Source organism: Homo sapiens, chromosome 9, assembly GCF_000001405.40.
Source record: "Homo sapiens chromosome 9, GRCh38.p14 Primary Assembly".
NCBI classification, from domain to species: Eukaryota; Metazoa; Chordata; class Mammalia; order Primates; family Hominidae; genus Homo; species Homo sapiens.
The window spans coordinates 123,810,702-123,830,983 of NC_000009.12; the positions used below are offsets into that span (position 1 = coordinate 123,810,702).

The window sequence follows — 20,282 nt, forward strand, 5'->3', positions numbered from 1 at the left end:
ACAAACTTGATCTAGAATTACCTAGGAAGCCAACATTTCAATTTGAACTTAAATCCCTTTTTTTTTTTTTTTTTGAGATGAAGTCTCGCTCTTGTCACCCAGGCTGGAGTGCAGTGGTGCAATCTTGGCTCACTGCAACCTCTGCCTCCCGGGTTCAAGTGATTCTCCTGCCTCAGCCTCCTGAGTAGCTAGAATTACAGGCACCTACCACCACGCCCGGCTAATTTTTGTACATTTAGTAGAGACAGGGTTTCACCATGTTGGCCAGGCTGGTCTTGATCCCCTGACCTCAGGTGATGCACCCACCTCGGCCTCCCAAAGTGCCGGGATTACAGGTGTGAGCCACCACGCCCGGCCAAATCCCTGAACCTTTTCATCCATCTTGCTTGAAGCCTGGACTAGACCCTGTTATGCATTCAATCTGCTCTCTTCTACTCACAGCCTCCAAAGTTGAACACATTTCTCAAAATGATGGAATGCCAGATCCACCACTTTACCATCTTGAAAGATGCCAAAAAAGGGATGCAAATAGGTGCTCAAGTTTTATAATCTTATAACTCATGTCATTTTTCCCCATAAGACTGGCAAAGGTTAGAAGTGTGGGAAACATCTGGAGACTGAAGGATCTGGGGAAATAAGCAGTCTCCTATAATTGATAACTAAGAGTATGGCTGGATGGAAAGTAATTTGGTACAATTTTCTGCAGCACAAATAGAATGAATTTTAAATTTCCATGCCTTATAATCCACCAATTTCACTTACAAGAAAGCATCCACGGCTGGGCATGGTGGCTCATGCCTGTAATCCCAGCACTTTGGGAGGCTGAGGCGGGCAGATCACAAGGTCAGGAGATCAAGACCATTGTGGCTAACATGGTGAAACCCCGTCTCTACTAAACATACAAAAAATTAGCCAGGCGTGGTGGTGGGCGCCTGTAGTCCTAGCTACTTGGGAGGCTGAGGCAGGAGAACGGCGTGAACCTGGAAGGCGGAGCTTGCAGTGAGCGGAGATCGCACCACTGCATTCCAGCCAGGGCGACAGAGCAAGACTCCAACTCAAAAATAAAAATAAAAAAGGTTTGTGGGTTTGCCTCTTTGCCAAACATCCATCAATATATTTTTAAAATAAAGTGATTTAGAACTATAAATGACATGGAAAGTTGCCCTTTTTAATAATTTGTAATTGGACCTCTGAAATACAGTGATGTGTCACTTAACAATGAGAATGCACCCTGAGAAATGCATCATTAGGCAATGTTGTCATTATGTGAATATCATAGAGTGTACTTAACAAGCTTAGAATGATACAGTCTACTACACATCTACACTATATGGTATAGCTAAAGCACCACCTTCCACCCCTTATCCCATTATCCTCCTCCTTCCCTTTCCAGAAGTAACCATTTTTTAAGGTTGGCATGCAGTCTTTCCATCCATACTGTTGTACGTTTAATATATATAAATGCACCCATGATAAAATAGAGTTGTTTTGTATTTTTAACATTTATATATCTGATATTTTGCAGATAGTACTTTTAGCCTGTTTTTCTAATTCAAAATTATGTTTTTGAGAATTACTCATGTTGCTTCAAGCAGATTGGATCCATTCCTTTTAATTGCTATAAAATTCTTCTATTCAGCTATATAATTCTTTATTCTATATTAATAAGTCACAATTTATCCATTTTTTCCCTGTTGATGATCATTTAGGTTTTAAGGATTTTTCAGTTACAAAAAAAAAAAGATGCTATGAACATTCTTGATATGACACTTTGTACACAAATGAGAATTTCACTGCAATATACAGTGAGTGGAATGAGTGGTTGCTAGAACGTGAGCACCTTCCACTTCACTAGATATTATCAAAGCACATAAGAGTTTTTGCCCTTCCACATTCTTATTAATACTGGTACTGGTTGATTTTTGACATTTTCTGCCACTCTCATGTATAAAATACTCTCTTAGGATTTTAATTTATATTTCCTTCATTTTAGTGATAGAATCATAATCTTTTTAAATGACTCTTAACTACTTGGATTTATTATTTTATTATTTCATCTAATATTTTTTGCCTATCTAAAAAATTTCTTTCTTTCGAGTACCTTATGTATTCTGGATCCTAAGCCTTGTAAAAATTTTCAATCTAATAATTGTCTTTTTATTTTGTTAATAGTTCTTTTTTGCCATACCAAAGTTTCAGATTTTAGTGTACTCAAATCAAGAGTCAAGTCTTTTTCAACATGGTTTGTGATGTTTCTTTGTGGTTTTTGGAAAGGGTCTCACTCTATCTTCCAGGCTGGAGGGCAGTGGCATGATCATGGCTCACTGCAGCCTTGACCTCCAGACTCAAGGGATCCTCCCACCTCAGCCTCTCCAGTAGCTGGGACCACAGGCGCACACCACCACAGGCACCTGTGGTCTCAGCTAATTTTTTGGTTTTCTGTAGAGACAGGGATCTCACTATGTTGTCCAGGCTGGTCTCGAACTCCTGAACTCAAGCAATCTTCCTGTCTCAGCCTCCCAATATGTGGGATTACAGGTGTGAGCCACTGTATCTGGCTTTGTTTGTGCTTTTTTACATCTTAGTCAAGAAATCCTTTCGTAAGACTTCTAAAAATATTTTCACATTTTCTATGAACTTCTGCTTTTTAATGTACATCTTTAATCTACTTGTAATTTATTTTTATCAAGGCTGTGAGTAGGACTTTTTTTTTTTCCAAAGGACCAGTAAATTCTCTCTCAAATAGAGGAATTGCCTGGTGATAACCTTTTTATTTCTAATTCCTAAGGGCAGCTGGCAAAGCCCTTCTCATCTAAAAAAAAAAATTAGGGAAAAGGTGTACTATTTAATACTTAAATATGACAAGTCATAACTAATGACATTTGGTAGGACAGAACATACCAGAATATACTGAGTCGGCTTTACTTAGACCCGAAAAAAAAGATCTGCGTTCACAATTATCCAAAGAAAAGCACAAAGAATCCAAACAGATACTGGATTGTCTAATAAGTAAAAAAAATTAGGCAAAAGTAAAACAGACATTTCTACCAGCTTTTTTAATACTCATAAGATACCAAGTTTTAAGAGAGTTTCGTGCAGACTCACAAACAAACTTTTTACCTAGCCCTCAAAATTCACAATCTCACATCAGTTTTCCACTCCTTTCCAAAACTTAGATTTAGAAAAGGGCCACTTAGGAAGACGCTTATCTCAATAGTTACAGCATTAAGAAGAGAAATGCCTAACTGATACTACTGCAATCATCACTAAATTTGATTGTGATATTCTTGCATAAGCTAACCAAAATTATTTTACTGATATAAATCCTGTATAACTACTTACAGATTTTTACATAATGTTACATTTACCATAATTTACATAATGTAACTAGTATCAACCAGCTAAATTTGAATTCTTTGTTCTCTTGAAAAAGAACACCATTTTAAGTTAATAATATGTTTCTGAATATGACACTGTAAGGTATTCTTAAGAGGGTATGTAACACGGACATTAATAATTTACCAAATAAATTCATTGTGATCAATTCTATTATAAAAATTCACAGGAACTCTTAATAAAAGCAAATGTTAATTTAATATTTTTACCCCTTCTTCATCCAGCCATCTATTGGAACCTAACTTATTGAGAATATCATTTTTAACAGCATTTCTTTGCAAATGTTATACTGCAGCTGCTGTATAATTATCTTTCAGGCTGCAAATTTTCAGCATTGTACATGTTTTATAGCATATTTTATATATACTTAAAAACAAACTCAATGGTCAAGTAAACAAAAAAGGTACTCTTTGGTTCAAAAAATTCATTAAGCATAATAAATTCAATTAGACACAGTATGAGGTTTTCCTCAAAGCCATACAATAATAATACAAGTATTGTATTGTTCAAATATTCTCATTGTTATATAGGTTGTCACATTTCACTTTTAATAGGAACTGACTCAAAGAGACCTTGGAACAAAAGTATCCTAACCAAGTAGCAGTTCTCAAAGTGTCATGCTAAAAAAACATTACTCTCCAATTCACACAATCCAAACAATCAAATCAGAGAACAACCACTTCTTTATTAATGGAAAAATGCACTCTAGTTTCCTGTGTCCAAGTGACGCTACCTAAAAAATACTTAAACAAGGAAAGCTAAAGATGCAATCATTGGAATAGCATCAATATTAATAAAATGTTTTTACAACTGATAATTAGATATTATTCATTGAATGATAGTTTTGAGAGTTTAACAATAATTCCAATGTTTGCTGAAAGCAAATGAAATTAAAGGAATTCCTAATGCTGACAATCTTCTTCATTAAAATATAAAACTAAAAACAATTCAGCCTACAAAGACAAAATCTCACTAGAAAAGAAAGCGATGTGGTTAGGCGGGAAATTAAATCTTACTCAAACTGTGGGTGGAAATAAAACAGTACCTTCATAATAAAGATATCACAAACAGCTGTATTCTTTACAGTTATTTGCTCAAGATATAATTTGCTCTCCTGCAGTGTCAGATGCTAATGCAACTGAATTTATACAATCTAAGCACTGTCTACAGATGCACCTTTTGTTTTTAAATCAGCAGGAACCACTGACCAGCAGACGAAATATTCCTAACTAATCAGCAAATGTGTAAAGTCTGACATCCCCCTGCAAAATACACATCTGACCATATAACTGTCTCAGTAAATTCACATGACTAGAAACAACTTTAACACACTAAACAAATTCTACTCAAAAATGATCAGAAGGTCAGTCACTGCAAACAGCCACTGTGCTACAGACCAGAAATAACTTCTAATAAGCCCCCTTCAAAAAATTTGCAGCCTGAAAGATAATTATATAGCACTTGCAGTATAACATTTGCAAAGAAATACTGTTTAAAATGATATTCTCAATAAGTTAAGTTCTAATAGCTGAGAAAGGAAGGGGTAAAAATATTAATTTAATATTTACTTTATTACTTAAAACTAAATAGTTTTAGCGTATTAAAATCACGTTTTCTAAGAAAATTCCCGAAGATACACATTATGATCTATGTAATTTTCCAAACTGACCGTATTCTCCTTTATTGTATAACATTCTACAATGTGAGGAGGCTAAAACGTGTCCGTAATTTTGTATTTCAGGACAATCTAGAAGTCTGTGCAAAACATAACCCAACTGCTATAATAACTCAAAAAGAACAGAAAACTTACAGCTACATGTTCAAAGAGAGTAAGCAGAAAAAGAAACAACAATTATCAAGAACCTATTTGGCACTGGGCCCTCAAAGTGACTGTACTTTTTTTTTTTTTTTTTTTTTTTTTGAGACAGTGTCTCACTGTGTCACCCAGGCTGGAGTGCGGTGGCACAATCCTGGCTCACTGTAACCTCGACCTCCTGGGCTCAAGCGGTCCTCCCACTTTAGCCTCCTGAGTAGCTGGGGCCAAAGGCTTGCGCCACCACACCCAACTAATTTTTGTATTTTTTTGTAGAGATGGGGTTTCACCATGTTTGTCAGGCTGGTCTCGAACTCCTGGGTTCAAGTGATCTGCCAGCCTTGGCATCCCAAAGTCCTGGGGTTATAGGTATGAGCCACCACGCCCAGCTGAAACCAAATCTTACAAGTTCACTAATTTCCCCAAGGTCACACATCTATTCAGTGTCAGAGTGAGGATTTAATCTCAGGTTTGTATGATTCCAAATTTCAAACTTTCATCTGCACCAAGCTCTCCCCACAATAAAATGGGTGATATAGGCTTCCTGGTCTAGCCAGAAAGGTTAAATGCTGCGGATGAAGTTTTAAGGGAGGTTTATAAATCAACTTCCAAATAGTGTTTTACAAACTTATTATAATATAATATGATCCTTTCTTAAATTGGGAATGTTTGAAAGAACACAAATCTGTGAGATCACTAACAAATATTAGAAATCAATTTGGAAAAATAATTACCTGGTCCTCTCACACTACCCTTGAGGGCCAATGAGTAAGTCATTTCAATAGTGCCTTGAATAGGACCAAATGCAATGTTATTTTGAATTCACAAAACTCTGTACAACTTTCCAAGCTCTTTCACATTCTTTAGAATTCATAAAGTCCTCCAAAAACTACATTGAAAGGGTTAAAGGAACATAGTAGATACATAAAAGAGGAAAATAGAGAGGCACTGTAAATGCAGACAGTAGTACCTGTCAGTCCCAGGGCGAACTCCATTCCTATACCTTCTCAGGGGCAAAAATACAGCCACTAGAAGGTAAGGACCTGTAGACAGCTAACTAGTCTCTTATCTGCAGTCCCTCCTCAAGGCCAGAGGAAGCAGGTTACTTCCTGGCAGAATTCCATGGGCTCCAAAAAGGAAATAACACTCTGTTCCAGTAATACCCAACCTCTCTATAATAACCTCAATGGTAACCCCGATGGTAATGTTACCCAATGGTAACATTGAGGTTTAAAGCCTAGATGATCTCCATGGTCAAAATATAAGTGAAAAGGGACAAAGATTTGTACCCAGTCTTTGTCCCTCAAGATCAGAGATTATTACCTTCCCTAGAACTGCTTTGAGCCCTATGAAAGATGACTCATCTTTATACCAAATTACAATAGGCAATGTAAAATTTCAGTGGGATTTCACTGTAGGAGGTTAAAAAAGATAAATGTGTTGGTCCACACGCCGGGGGGTTTAAGGAAACAATAGACACTTTTATCTGAACACTTAAAAATGTTAATCATCCACGTGCAAGGTATAACTGTAAGATAAGGCAACCAACATTTTAATATATTAGAATTTTTACATGCAAATGAGTATTGCCCTCACAAGATAATAACCTTAATGAGCCAATGCACATGTTAAATTATTTTGGGAGTCCCCTTTTGAAAACTTCCCTCAGAGACCTCAGAACGTTAACTTAAATTTCTCATGTTTTCCTAGTTGGAATATAAAGGATACAGCTCTCTGGAATATGATTAGGTATTACATTATAAACATCTTAAAAATGTGTACTAACCCTTTGACCAGGTAACTCAACTTTTAGAAATATACTATAGAAAATGCTGGCTGGGCGTGGTGGCTCATGCCTGTAATCCCAGTACTTTGGGAGGCCGAGGTGGGTGGATCACCTGAGGTCAGGAATTCGAGACCAGCCTGGCCAACAAGGTGAAACCTCCTCTATACTAAAAATACAAAAATTAGCCAGGCTTGGTGGCAGGCGCCTGTAATCCCAGCTACTTGGGAGGCTGAGGCAGGAGAATCGCTTAAACCTGGGAGGCGGAAGTTGCGGTGAGCCGACATCACACCACTGCACTCCAGCCTGACCAACAGAGTGAGACTCCGTTAAAAAAAAAAGAAAAGAAATATACTATAAGAAAATGCAAATAAATGTGTATAATTTATTGGTCATTATAGTATTGTTTTTCGTTTTGTTTTGTTTTGAGACAGAGTCTCGCTGTCGCCCAGGCTGGAGTGCATGCAGTGGCGCGATCTCGGCTCACTGCAAGCTCCGCCTCCCAGGTTCACACCATTCTCCTGCCTCAGCCTCCCGAGTAGCTGGGACTACAGGCGCCTGCCACCACACCCGGCTAATTTTTTGTATTTTTAGTACAGACGGGGTTTCACCGTTTTAGCAGGGATGGTCTTGATCTCCTGACCTTATGATCCGCCCGCCTAGGCCTCTCAAAGTGCTGGGATTACAGGCGTGAGCCACCGCACCTGGCCTATAGTATTGTTAATACAGGTTGAGTATCCCTTATCCGAAACACTTGAGATCAGAAGTGATTCAGATTTCAGATTTTTTTGGATTTTGGAATATTGGCATATATATACATACATATACACACACACACACACACACACACACACACACACACACACACACACACATATATATATATATATAAAATGAGATCTTGGAATGGCACCCAAGTCTAAACACAAAATTCATTTACATTTCGTACATACCTTACACACATAGCCTGAAGGTAATTTCATATATTTTTAATAATTTTGCACATGAAACAAAGTTTGTGTTAAGTACTCATGTGTGGAATCGTCCATTTGTGGCATCATGTCAGCACCACAAGGCTTCAGATTCTGCAGCATTTTGGAGCATTTTGGATTTCAAATTTTTAGATTAGGGATGTTCAACCTGTAATAACAAAACTATTTAGACTACTAAGTGTCTTATAAGGGACTGATTAAACGAATTATGATGCATTTATGTGATAAACCACAATATATCCATTAAAAGTCATATCATAGAACAGAAGCTCTCAAAGTGTCATCCGTAGGCCAGCAAGTCAGCATCACCTACAAACTTGTTAAAAATACAAATTCTTAGGCCCACACAAGACCTACTTAATCCATCTCTGGGCATGGGGTCCAGGAAGCTGGGCTTCAACAAGCTCTTCAGGTGATTATCATGCACAGTAAAGTTTTGGAACACTGCAGAGTATTTAACAACAATCCACTGAGACTGTTTTCCCTTCTAAATTTTTAAAAGGAATGTTACTATATAATACTCTACCTCCTTTTCTTAACATTACACACCATACAAACACATGCACACACACAAAAGTATCCTTCACTATCCAAACTCTCACCATCCTAACAGAGTCAAATGTTTGGCTGAATCCCTCACAAATCGGAATTCTTGCTATGTATAATCCAAAATTCAGAAACTGAATACTATAGATCCAGATAATGTGATAGCCCTTGCCACTGAAAGAGATTCAGAGAACAACAGATACATGATATGAATCTGGGGTGGGTACACAGGTATTAACATATCCCAGAATATTACCAATGATTATATCTTAAAGACTGGGATTAAAAAATATTTTATTTTTTTATTTTTGAGACAGGGTCTCACTCTGTTGCCCAGGTGGGGGTTCAGTGGCTAGAGTTCAGTGGCACGATCTTGGCTCACTGCAACCTCTGCCTCCTGGGTTCAAGCAATTCTCCTGCCTCGGCCTCGCAAGTAGCTAGGACTACAGGTGCATGCCACCATGACTGGCTAAGTTTTGTATTTTTAGTAGAGACACGGTTTCACCATGTTGTCCACGCTGGTCTCAAACTCCTGGCCTCAGGTGATCAGCCAGCCTCGGATCCTAGAGTGCTAGGCTTACAGGTGTGAGCCACCATGCCCAGCTGGGATTAGAAGATATTTTAATTTTTCTCTTTTACTTTTCTGAATTTTATAAATAATCTTCAAATAAATAATTATTCTAAATTGAAACTTAAAATTTTAAGAAATAAATGCATATCAATCATGTAAAACTAAATGACACTATTTGGAGATACCTACATATATGGTAAAAAAGAAATAATGGAAAGCAAGAAAATGATGAAACAATATTGGGAGGGAAAAACATATTGAGAGGGGACAGTGATGATCTGGGGGTAAAAGTGAGGGACAAAAAGAGGGCAGAAAGAGGCACATAGAGGGCTTTAGGCTTAGTAATGTTCTATGTAAGCCAGTATGATAGGTTGCCTTCAAAAATGTCACCAACTTTAGTCCCATCCCTATGGCACATGCCAATTCTCCCATCAAGCCATGGAGTCTGTTTCCAGGATCCTTCAAGGGGGCTGACTTCGTGACTTGCTTTGAACCATGGAATACAGCAGGAATTATGCCGAGTCATTATTGGGTATAGGCCTTTAGAGACTTGGCAACTTCTGCTTTCATCCTTTTAGGGTCTGGCTGCTGTGTGTCTCAGGCTGGACTTCTGAATGCAGAGAGGCCACATGGACAATGAAAGGCCCAGACCAGAGTCCTACTGTTCCAGGCACCCAGGTGAAGTATGAGACGTGTGAGCTGAATTCATCTTGGACATGGCGAGCTCCCTGCTGAATGACTGACCCCAGCTTACATCTCATGGAGCAGAACCACCCAAGGTAGCCCAGCCAATCCACAGAAGCATGAGAGATAATAAATCATTGTTGTGTTAAGTCACTGAGTTTTGGGGTACTTTTTTTCTTTTTGGTACTGACAACTAAAAATTAAATTTTTTTATTGTTATTTCCCATATCTTATATGTGATCATCTTTTGTAGGATTAAAGTTTTAATTTATGTCATTTTTATCCATAGCAAATAATGTAATAGCAATTGTTCATATCACAAAATTGATTTTCTTGTGGAGCTTCAAAAAATCATTGGAGCAATAGCGCAATCACTGCTTATCCATGTCAGTTCCCTTGTCATAATTAAGACTAGCCTGCACTTTCTTTTCTGTCTTACCTTTTGCCTTAACATTTTCATATTTGGGTTACAACTTAGTAAAATGAAGAAGCATACCATTGAAAAAATATTTTAGAACAGTTTGAATAGCACAGGCATTATCTGCAAAGATGTGAATACTGACAAGCTAAACCATCTGGAACTGGCAACTTTTTAGGAATACTGTTTTGACAACTTTATCAAATTCTTCCATGAATATTGTTCCAGGTAAGTTTTTTAAAATCTCTTTTTGAGTTAACTTGACTAATGTGTATTTTCCCTAAAAATATTCATTTCATCTCAAATTCATCAGAAAAAAATATGCAGTATTCTCTTACATATAAATAGACAATAGACTGAAATATAATAAAGTAACAGGAAATATCTGAGTGTTGGAAAATTATATATATATCTCTTACATTTTTTATTTTCTAAATTTTCCAAAATAAATGTCATTTTCAAAATGAAAAAAAATTATGTGAAGAATAAACAAGAAACCATTGTGTAGCTTCTGTTCTAAGAATACGACAGCATCTAGCTTACTAGTCTGTCATGGCTAACAGAAACCAGTTGTAAGAAAATGTGAAAACTGAATTATGTGACTTGACCACAATCTTTCCTTATGGTGGATTAGAGGTAACAATCTGTATTATTTGAACATTTGCCATTAATGTCTACAAAACAGATTAACTATAAGAAAGGAGACAACCTAAGCTTTCATGAGATTTCATAAGAGTCCCAGAATAATGTTACTCCATCAACTCTAACAGTTTCAAACAGACCACTTAACAGCACTGCTTTCTGATGCTGTTTATAATTCATTGTTGTCTCCAGCTTTGCGGAGGACAGGATCTAGTTCCTCAGTCCAACAATATGCAGAGGACAAGCACACAAATACCATCCCTGTGGACACAATAATGCAGCAGCAACCACCCGGCTCCAGCCCTCCCCTTGTTGCTATTATAATTTATGCATCCTTGGAGACTGGAGTATAAAACAATGATTAATGCTGAGAAAATCAACAGCATCAAAGGTTTTCAACTGACCACTGGCCTTAAAGAAGAAAATCATAGTTCAGTAACACAAATGTTTACCAACCTGATGTAAAGAATTAACTGAAAAATGAAATCACTTACCAAGCTACCACAATCATAACTATTATTGTCTTAATCCTTAGACGCTTTGGCTTCCTTTTGTCTGGGTCTGGCTTTCTATGTCCCCATATATAATCTGAGTTTTTATATATCTGTATAGCACTGGCTTTCTATCAAACTGATAATACTAAAGCCTATAAAGTCACTAAAGCAATAAAATTTAATAAGAGCAATAATTTGAGCTATCAGAGAATTTCTTTATGATAAACACAATATAATGTTACTACCATCACTATAAACTTTATATGAGACAGGTGTCCCAACACTAAATATTAACAATATTGAAGATATCTTTTCAACATAGTGGAAAAGGCCATGGTATACAACATATAGAAGTAAAAATTACTTTGAAAATACACAGGTTAGAAATGGATACAGCCTCTATAGAAGGGGGGAAATTAGTAATCACAGGAGCTTTTGTAGATGCATTTACGACTAAGGAGGATTCTAGGACCCTGAACCTTGTACTAAGTCAGCAAAGGCAGAATTACATTTCTTTAAAAATGGGATATATCCTCATTTAGCTGCACTAACTCAAACACAGGATTGCCTAAAGGCTACATGACACTGAGCTATTTGTTACAATGGTGGCTTTCAAAATTTTTAACCATTGCCCACATTAAGATACATATGACACCTACTACATAAACACATTCACACACAGAAAGTTTCAGAAAACTATACCTGTCCTTACTATATGTTATTTTCTCTGATAATTGCTATTTTATTCCATTTCATTTTTAAAAATTCACTTCAAGACCCATTAAACTGGTTTTATTACCCACCAGCAGGTCACAATCTATTGTTTGGCAACTACTTGTGGGCCTTTCTTAACGCTTACGATACAGGGGGCAGGGAGAAAAGAAAAGAAGAGAATATTACAAACCCACTGTGTGCTATCTAATATACAGTAAGACACCTTTTGTGTCCCAATTTAAGTCTCACATCAACTCTATGAGGCAAGTAATGCTCATTTATTTACTCATCCTTTCAACAGATACTTATTGTGTACTTACTATGTCTCAGGTACTGTGCTAAACTCGGGAACAACTGAGCAGTGAATAAAACACAGTCTATACCGTCAAAAAACTAGAGTGTATGGAAGGAAAACATTAAATGGGAGGTAAACGCAAAAAAGAAAAAGCACAGCATGCTTTATAAAAATACTTAACAAAGAGATTCAACTTTGAGAAGAATTAAAAGGCTTCCCCAGGAATTATCCCACGAGTAGCCTTGATGGATGCAAAGGAATTGGATAGGCAAAAGTAGGGAAAAGGAAAGTGGTCTGGGCAGATGGAACAGCACTGACTATAGGCAGACTTGAGGCAGGAAGGAATGCGGGTCAAAAGAAGAAAGAACAGAAGCCCAATATGTTGATCACTGAGCACAAGGGAGCCAGAGGTAAGAAATAAGGCCAGAGAAGGAAGCTTGTGCCAAGTCACACAGGGTCTCATGGGGCACACTAAGGACTGAGGACTTCATTCGGGTATAAAAGGAAGCCCCTGAGAAGCTTTAAGCAAAAAGGAGTAAAAGGTAGCGAAAAGATCCCATGTGTCTTCCAAACATAACTCTAGCTGTTCTGTGGAGAATGGACTGGAATTAGGCAAAATGAAATATAAGATTAGCTGGGTAACCACAGTAGCCTGAGTGGGAAGTGGTGCAGGACTTGATGCAGGTGATAGCGTGGGAGCAGAAGGAAGTCAGCCGGCTTGAGATAAGATGATAGAACTGAATGGGAAAGGTGAGTGAGTATGTAAGACAGAAGAAACACCAAGAGAGACGGAGGGAAAAGAGAACAATTCCCAGGTTTCTGGCACAAGAAACTCTAAGAGGGGAACCCTGTTGAATAAGCAAAATTAGGAGAATGATCCTAAGTTCAATTTGAGATGTCTATGAGAAGAAAGTCAAGAAGAGCCATTCAGTAGGCACTGTGGTATCGCACACCTAATAAACATCAGAACTGAAATCTGGCCAGGTCTATTTGACATGAAAATCAAAGTTCTTTCATAACACTGAAATGAAGATGAGAATTATCAAGGTGATAATTCTCATTATCACCAGCTAACATTTACTGAACATCTACAATGTGCTAGGTATTCACAGTAACCCTACAGAAGAAACAGGCTCAGAGAGGTAAAGTAGGGAGAATCTGACAAAGGAGCAGAACCAGGACTTAATCTCAGATCTAGAAACACCCCAAAACTTAAGCTCTTACACTCTAAACCCCAGTACCACTCAAATCCAGAGTGGGGTAACAAGACCTTTAACTCGCAATCACTTGCCAACAATAGATTGAAAGTTCTCTGAAGGCGGGACAGTGGTGTTCTATTCATCTTTGTAAATTCTAACATAATATCTCAGTAGTTGTTTGCTGAATGCGATGTGAAGAAATTTTGTATAGTACCTGCTGGTAAATCAATTTTTGGATTTGGAAAATCACCAATGGACTACATACTGTTAACTTTTTTTTTTCACCAATATATGTAATTTAAACTCAAAATACATTGGGTAGCTTCAAAACTGAGAAAGCCAAAAAGTAAAGAAAAGAAAGATGTCAAAATAGCTATTTTTCCAAATGGGTGTTTATAGAGTTCATCTGATTTTTTAATAACACCAGCATACCTCCCAATCTATATCTAAGGTACTACTGTAAACTGTTAATTTATTGGGGAAAAAAGCTTTAGCTATCGATTCTAGTGTAAGATTAAATGATTAGAAAATAAAATAAAACCTATCTCCTTACTAAAAGTTTACTGTTTTGGAGAAAAAGATTAACTTCATTATGTGGTACCAAACAATAGAATAAAATTTCATTTCAAGAACATAGGTTTTACCTATCTCTTATAAATTTTATTTAAAGCTAGAATGAGTAAAATTAGTTCAAAGTTCATTTTAAAATATGTCCTATAAGAAGGCCTTCTAAGAAAGAAAGCTTGGCTCCATTTACCCAATAAATAATGAATATTTTTAAGTGGGCAAGAAGCAAGTTACCATATTTCAGAGTCTAAGTGCCACTGAGAATAAAATGCACCATTAGTCATGAAACACCAAAACAAAAAAGAAGAGAGAGCAATTAAAGTTTGGTACCATGGTTTCTTATCACGTAAAATTAACTTACACTTATTGATACAGTTCTCTAGATTTTTTATATAATACTACTATACATACATAAAAAGTAAAACATAAGCACAATCAATTAGTGAAAGTATTCGTGTTCCCAATGCTCCTGGGAACACTGATGACACAGCTCTTCTTTTAAAAAAAAAAAAAGAAAGAAAAGAAAAAAGAAGAAAAGCGCAACTACTGCCTCTGAGATTTTTTTTCTCAAGCTGGTGACACCCATTCTGTAATGGATGCTGATCTTACTAGGGGGTGTCAACAGAAAATTTTCAAATGAAAGTCAGGACTCATATTCCTTTCTCAAATGATCCTGAAATGTCAATGGTTGCAGGTGTCCAATCCTACCACCAGGACTAGCAGCCAAGTTCTCTCATGCCTAGGCAATGACATCACAACAGCTGCCTGGCTTGCAGTGATTATAAGACCCCATCTACCGTAAGATGCATCACGATTTCAGACCTTAACTTGGGAGAAAATGCATATCTTAAAAGCCAATATAAAATGGTAAATTGTATCTAATTCTGTAAGAGTGTATATTTATCACATGTAAAGTTTCATCCAGAAAGGAAGATGTGGTTGACTGTAATTTTGTATCCGATTTTTCACCCCTCTTTCCTGGAGAAAATTATACATCCTTGCCTGTTGGCATGTGACTTACAGTGCCCTTCTCTGTGAAAGCAGTGGCCAAAGAAATGTGAATGCAAGTGGCCTGTGCCAATTTGCAGCTAAAGCTTTACGAGCTATCACATGGTTCCATCAGTTTTCTTTTTCTGCTGCCATGAGAAAAGGATGTCCCAGATGAGGGCTGCTCTTTCAGCTTGGATACCTGAGTGAGAGTCAAAGCTGACCCTAGAGCAGAGCTATAACCAAAAGGTACTGTAGGAATGTAATGAACTTTTGTTTTTCTCAGTCCCCTGAGATTTCTGGGGTCCTTTTTGTTAATTTCTTCAGGCAGCATAAGCTAGGGGAAGTTAACTAATACAAAAGATCCTTGATGTGAACTATGGACTCTAAAAATTATTTCCACAGCCTGGGCAACAAAGTGAGACCCCTATCTCTACAAAAAATACAAATATTAGCCAGGTGCAGTGGTTTGCACCTGTAGTCCCAACTTCTCAGGAGGCTGGAGTCAGATGATTGCTTGAGCCTGGGAGGTGGAGGATGCAATGAACTGTGATCACTCCACTGCACTACAGCACAATGACAGAGCGAGACCCTGTCTCTATAAAAATAAAAATAAAATAAATAAAAAGTATTTCCTAATGTCCTGGGCCAGAAAGACTCCTATAAGCCACCATGTTCTCCCCCATGCCCCTCAAGCCACTGCTGCAATACACATTTCCTTTCCTCCACCTTACTTCCAGAATACTTGTATCAAACCATTCCTCACACCACATTCCATGATACCCTTGATTCTCTTGGCTGAGGTTCTCAGTATTAGCTCTCCCCTTTTCACCTTGCCTCTCAGACTTGGTTCAAGATACCCCTTGGCTTCCCCTCTAATTAAACCTATTCTCCACTCTGTCCCATCTGCCATGTTCCCAAAACCTGCAACTTCTGCACAGCCCTGTGGACAAGCATCTCACCCATTTATCAGGTGTGAGGATTAAGCACCAACTAGATTCTCTTAGTGGGAGGCCTATCAAAAAGCATTCTTTAAACTCTTCTTTTAAACTGATGATGGTACAAAGCACTATAGAAACAGACGAGGAAATACAAAGTATGACTCTAGAAATAAGCAATAATGTAAACCTAACTTAAAGCTAGAAAATAACTTCTGTAATTCCAACAAACCCATGATTAATTATACAGTGTGGATTTAAAAGTATACATCTACATGTAGAGAGCTTAAAAAAAATCAAAGCTTGTAATGTATGACAAATTCCTGAAAAAATATTTTTCCATTGAAAAAGAACTCAACACAACTCAACTAATTATGTGGGAGGATTCATATGTAGTTATTCATGCATATAAAAAATTAATTATAGGTTTTCTGCAGTCTATATTACACATATACACCCACATCACATGCATCCTATTTGGCCTCTTTTCTCTTTCACTTATAGTTCCTGTATACCTGCCTTATAATGTCAGGGTACTTGTTAGCCTAAAGTCCTAAGTCTGAAAGAAAAGAAGAACTAGAATAAGATTATTTAGTGGCCTCAGGAAAAAGATTTTGTTGTGACCTTGAATAATTTCATTAATGGATATATAATATATATATATATATATATATATAGGTGGGAGGAACACCTGACCCTGGGAGGTCGAGGCTGGTGATGCAGTGAGCCATGATCATGCCACTGCACTCCAGCCTGGGCAACCAGAGTGAGACCTTGTCACACACACATGTACATGTACACACAGACACAAAATTCTAGCATTTAAGAACATGTTTCTCCCAAGGATATGGGCTGATTACTGAAGAGGCAACTAAGGGGCTCAAAGGTGATCAGAGGTTTCAAATCCCCAACAGGATGAAGAAGACAAAACTGTAATTTTTTGTAGGGCCCACAGAATAGAAGAGGTCCCAGTAAGTGCTTTAGGCTTTGGGTTGGACCTCAAATAATTATACCTCATGAGATGGGTAAAAAGGAAATAGATGAATCCTCAGAGACTAAGCCCATCTTCAAATCACCTAAACCCCTAATTGGGAAGGAAGGAAGGATGGAGCAAGGGGATGAGACAATTGCTAGCATGACTAGCCTTAAAAAACAAAATTAATATAAATCCTCTCTGGAGGAGGATAATATTACCCTAGACCTTAAAATATACCTGGTTTTGAATATACAACAATTGGCACTCAATAAAAAATTACGAAGTAAACAGGGACAAAAGAAAGGTGACAACAGAGATTCAAAGCAATAGAAACAGACCCAGAAGGGATTCAAATAATACTGGCCTCAGACACAGTTATTTCACAGACTGAAATAACTTTGCTCAATATGAGAAAGAAAGAAAGACGTGGAAGGGAGAGAGAGAGGGAGATAAGATGGAAGACAGGGAGGGGAAGAAAGTTTAAAAAGATTGAGAGTTTTGCATAAAATTAAAACTGATAAATTAGATTTTAGAACAAAAAAATGAATTAATAACTCAGTGGACAATAGATTAGTTGAAGAAAAAAACAAGTGAACAGATAGGTCAGAAAAAAATATCCAGATTAAGCCCAAATGGATAACACTGAAAAAGAGAAGGGAGAGTAAGTTATATATGAACTACTGTGACTAGGCCTAACTTGTATGTCATTGGGAGTCCCAGAAAAAAGATAGAAAGAGAATTGGCTTACAAGAAATAATAAGTAATGTTAAGAAATACCCAAAATTCATACCAAAAAATCAGATCCCAGATTTAAGAAACACTCTAAACCTCAAGCAGGACAAATGCAAAGACATTAACACCTACACTAATCATAGTGCAACTGCTAAAAATTAAAAATGAAAAGGAAAAACTTAAAAGTAGCCAAAAAAAAAAAAGAAAAAAAAATTGCCATTAAAGGAACACCCATAAGACTTACAGATGACTTTCCAGCAGAAACAATGTAAGCCAGAAGACAATGAGATGATATTTTAAAGATCCTGAAAGAAAATAAATGCCAAGCTAGATTTCTATACCCAATGAAAATATCAAAAACCAAACTGAGATTCTGACAAGAAGGTTGCAGAACTGTCATACAGTTTCTAAAACTCTGAGTTCCCAAAGATAGGGATCTCTTCTAGGACAAGGACCTACAGCAAAGTGAAGCTTCTGGAAGTAAAATCAAAATTGAACAGTATAGAGACCACAGAACTGAAATAAAGAAAAAGTTCAGGAAAAGGCAGGAGAAGGGAACGGAGCCAGGCAAGATTAGGCCACAAATCATATGCTTTTAAGCATCACAGGAAAACTTTACAAGAGATAGCTCAGTGAAGTATAACAGCTACCTACTTCTCCTCCTAAAGGTTCAGAAAAACTAATTTCACATATAAATGAGCAATAAATGAGTGTTAATGTAAGATCCTATAGGAAGTTATGATTAGAAAAAGCAGAGTAAGATTCAGACTAATGTCCCTAGAGACAATGAAGGCATGATAGACAAACATCAACACAAAATAAAAACCATAACCTTCCTTTCAAATTAGTTAAAATACTTTAAGAAAATTACACATGACATGAAATAATACACAAATCAGAATTACAAAAATGTAAAAATGAGGTGATGAACTCACAAAAAAAATTCAGACTTAAAAGAAAAAAATCATCTCCAATATGAAAACCAATTAGAGAAAACACAGTAACAACAACAACAACAACAAACCACAACAGATAATGCCTTAAGAGAAACAGAAGGTAAAAGGAGATAAATTCAAAAAATCCTGAGGAAATAGCTAAAAGGGATTCAAAGTAAAGTGACAAATATTGAAGATAGGAAAAGAAAATCAAACAGATGGATAATAAAAGGCAAAAGAAGAAATAAAAAACAAGGAAACAGGTACAAAAAAAGAACTGATACAAGAAGAAATAGAAAACCTGAATAGGTATAATAACTATTAAATACAGGGAACACATAATTAAGACATGTTTAATGGAGAAAACTACAAGCTCTTATGGCTTCATTAGTAAGTTCTTCCAACCTTTTAAGGAACAACACATATCAATATCACACCAAATTTTCCAGAGAATAGAGAAAGAGGAAACACTCGTTTTGAGGCCAGTAAAACCTTGATACTAAAATCTAAAGACAATGCAAGAAAGGAAATTTATCCCTCATTTAAACATTGATGTGAAAATTCTAAACAAAATTTTAGCAAAAGGAATGCAGCAATATATTAAATAATAATACATGACAACCTACTTGAATTTATTCCAATAACACAAAGGAGATGTCTTAATCTGATAAAGGTTATCTATTTTTAAAAACTGTGTCTCACCTGAATGTTCATCCAAATGGATAAGCAAATTATAATATTTATACAATGGAATACTACTTACCAGTAAAAAGAATAAACTGCTGATAGGTGAAGCAATATGGATGATTCTCAAAAAATCTTTATGTTGAGTGAAAGAAGCCAGAACCAAGAGAATTCCATTTCTGTAAGGAAATGCTATAGAATACCATTTCTATAAGGTTTAAGAAAAGCAAAACTAATCTATGGTAACATAAATCAGAACAGTTGTTGTCTCTGGTGGGGTAAAGGAATTGGAAATAAAGAGAAGAGTATATGGGAAACTGAGCTACATCTTGACTGAGGTGTTAATTACGCAGGTGTATACATGTTTCAAAATTCAAACTGTATGCTTAAGATTTGTTCATTTTACTATATGTGAGTTATAAATCAATCAAAAAACTCAATTAAAAAAACCTATAGCCACCGTGGTACTGAAAGGTGAAATGTGGAAAGTTTTCCCTTCAAAACAGGGAAAAGAGGGCCGGGCACAGTGGCTCACAAGTGTAATCCCAGCACTTTGGGAGGCCGAGGGGGGCGGACCACCTGAGGTCAGGGTTTGAGACCAGCCTGGCCAACATGGTGAAACCCCATCTCTACTAAAAATACAAAACAATTAGTTGGGTGTGGTGGCAGACGCCTGTAATCCCAGCTACTCGGGAGGCTGAGACAGGAGAATCACTTGAACCCGGGAGGCAGAGGTTGCAGCGAGCCGAGATCATCCCACTGCACTCCAGCCTGGGTGACAAGAGTGAAATTTCATCTCAAAAATGAAAAAAAAAAAAAAAAAAAAAAAAAAACCAGAAAAGAATAGGAAATCCTGCCATCATCAATCTCATTAAACATTATACTGCTGGTCTTAAGCCCACGTAATAAGAACAAG

At 36.9% G+C, this 20,282-nt stretch overlaps 1 protein-coding gene across 29 annotated transcripts in view; it reads right to left on the bottom strand.

The window, feature by feature from the left end:
* Positions 1-20,282, bottom strand: part of DENND1A (DENN domain containing 1A) — a 550,469-nt gene that overhangs the window by 431,044 nt on the left and 99,143 nt on the right. Inside the window, exon 1 of one of the 29 annotated variants that reach the window (XM_011518885.4) lies at positions 6,180-6,239. The exons of the other annotated variants lie outside the window; for them this stretch is intronic. Within the exon in view, the coding sequence (XP_011517187.1) occupies positions 6,180-6,204 (25 nt within the window). The 5' untranslated portion in view covers positions 6,205-6,239. Of the gene's footprint in view, positions 1-6,179; positions 6,240-20,282 lie in introns of those variants that run through there. 29 annotated transcript variants of the gene reach the window in all.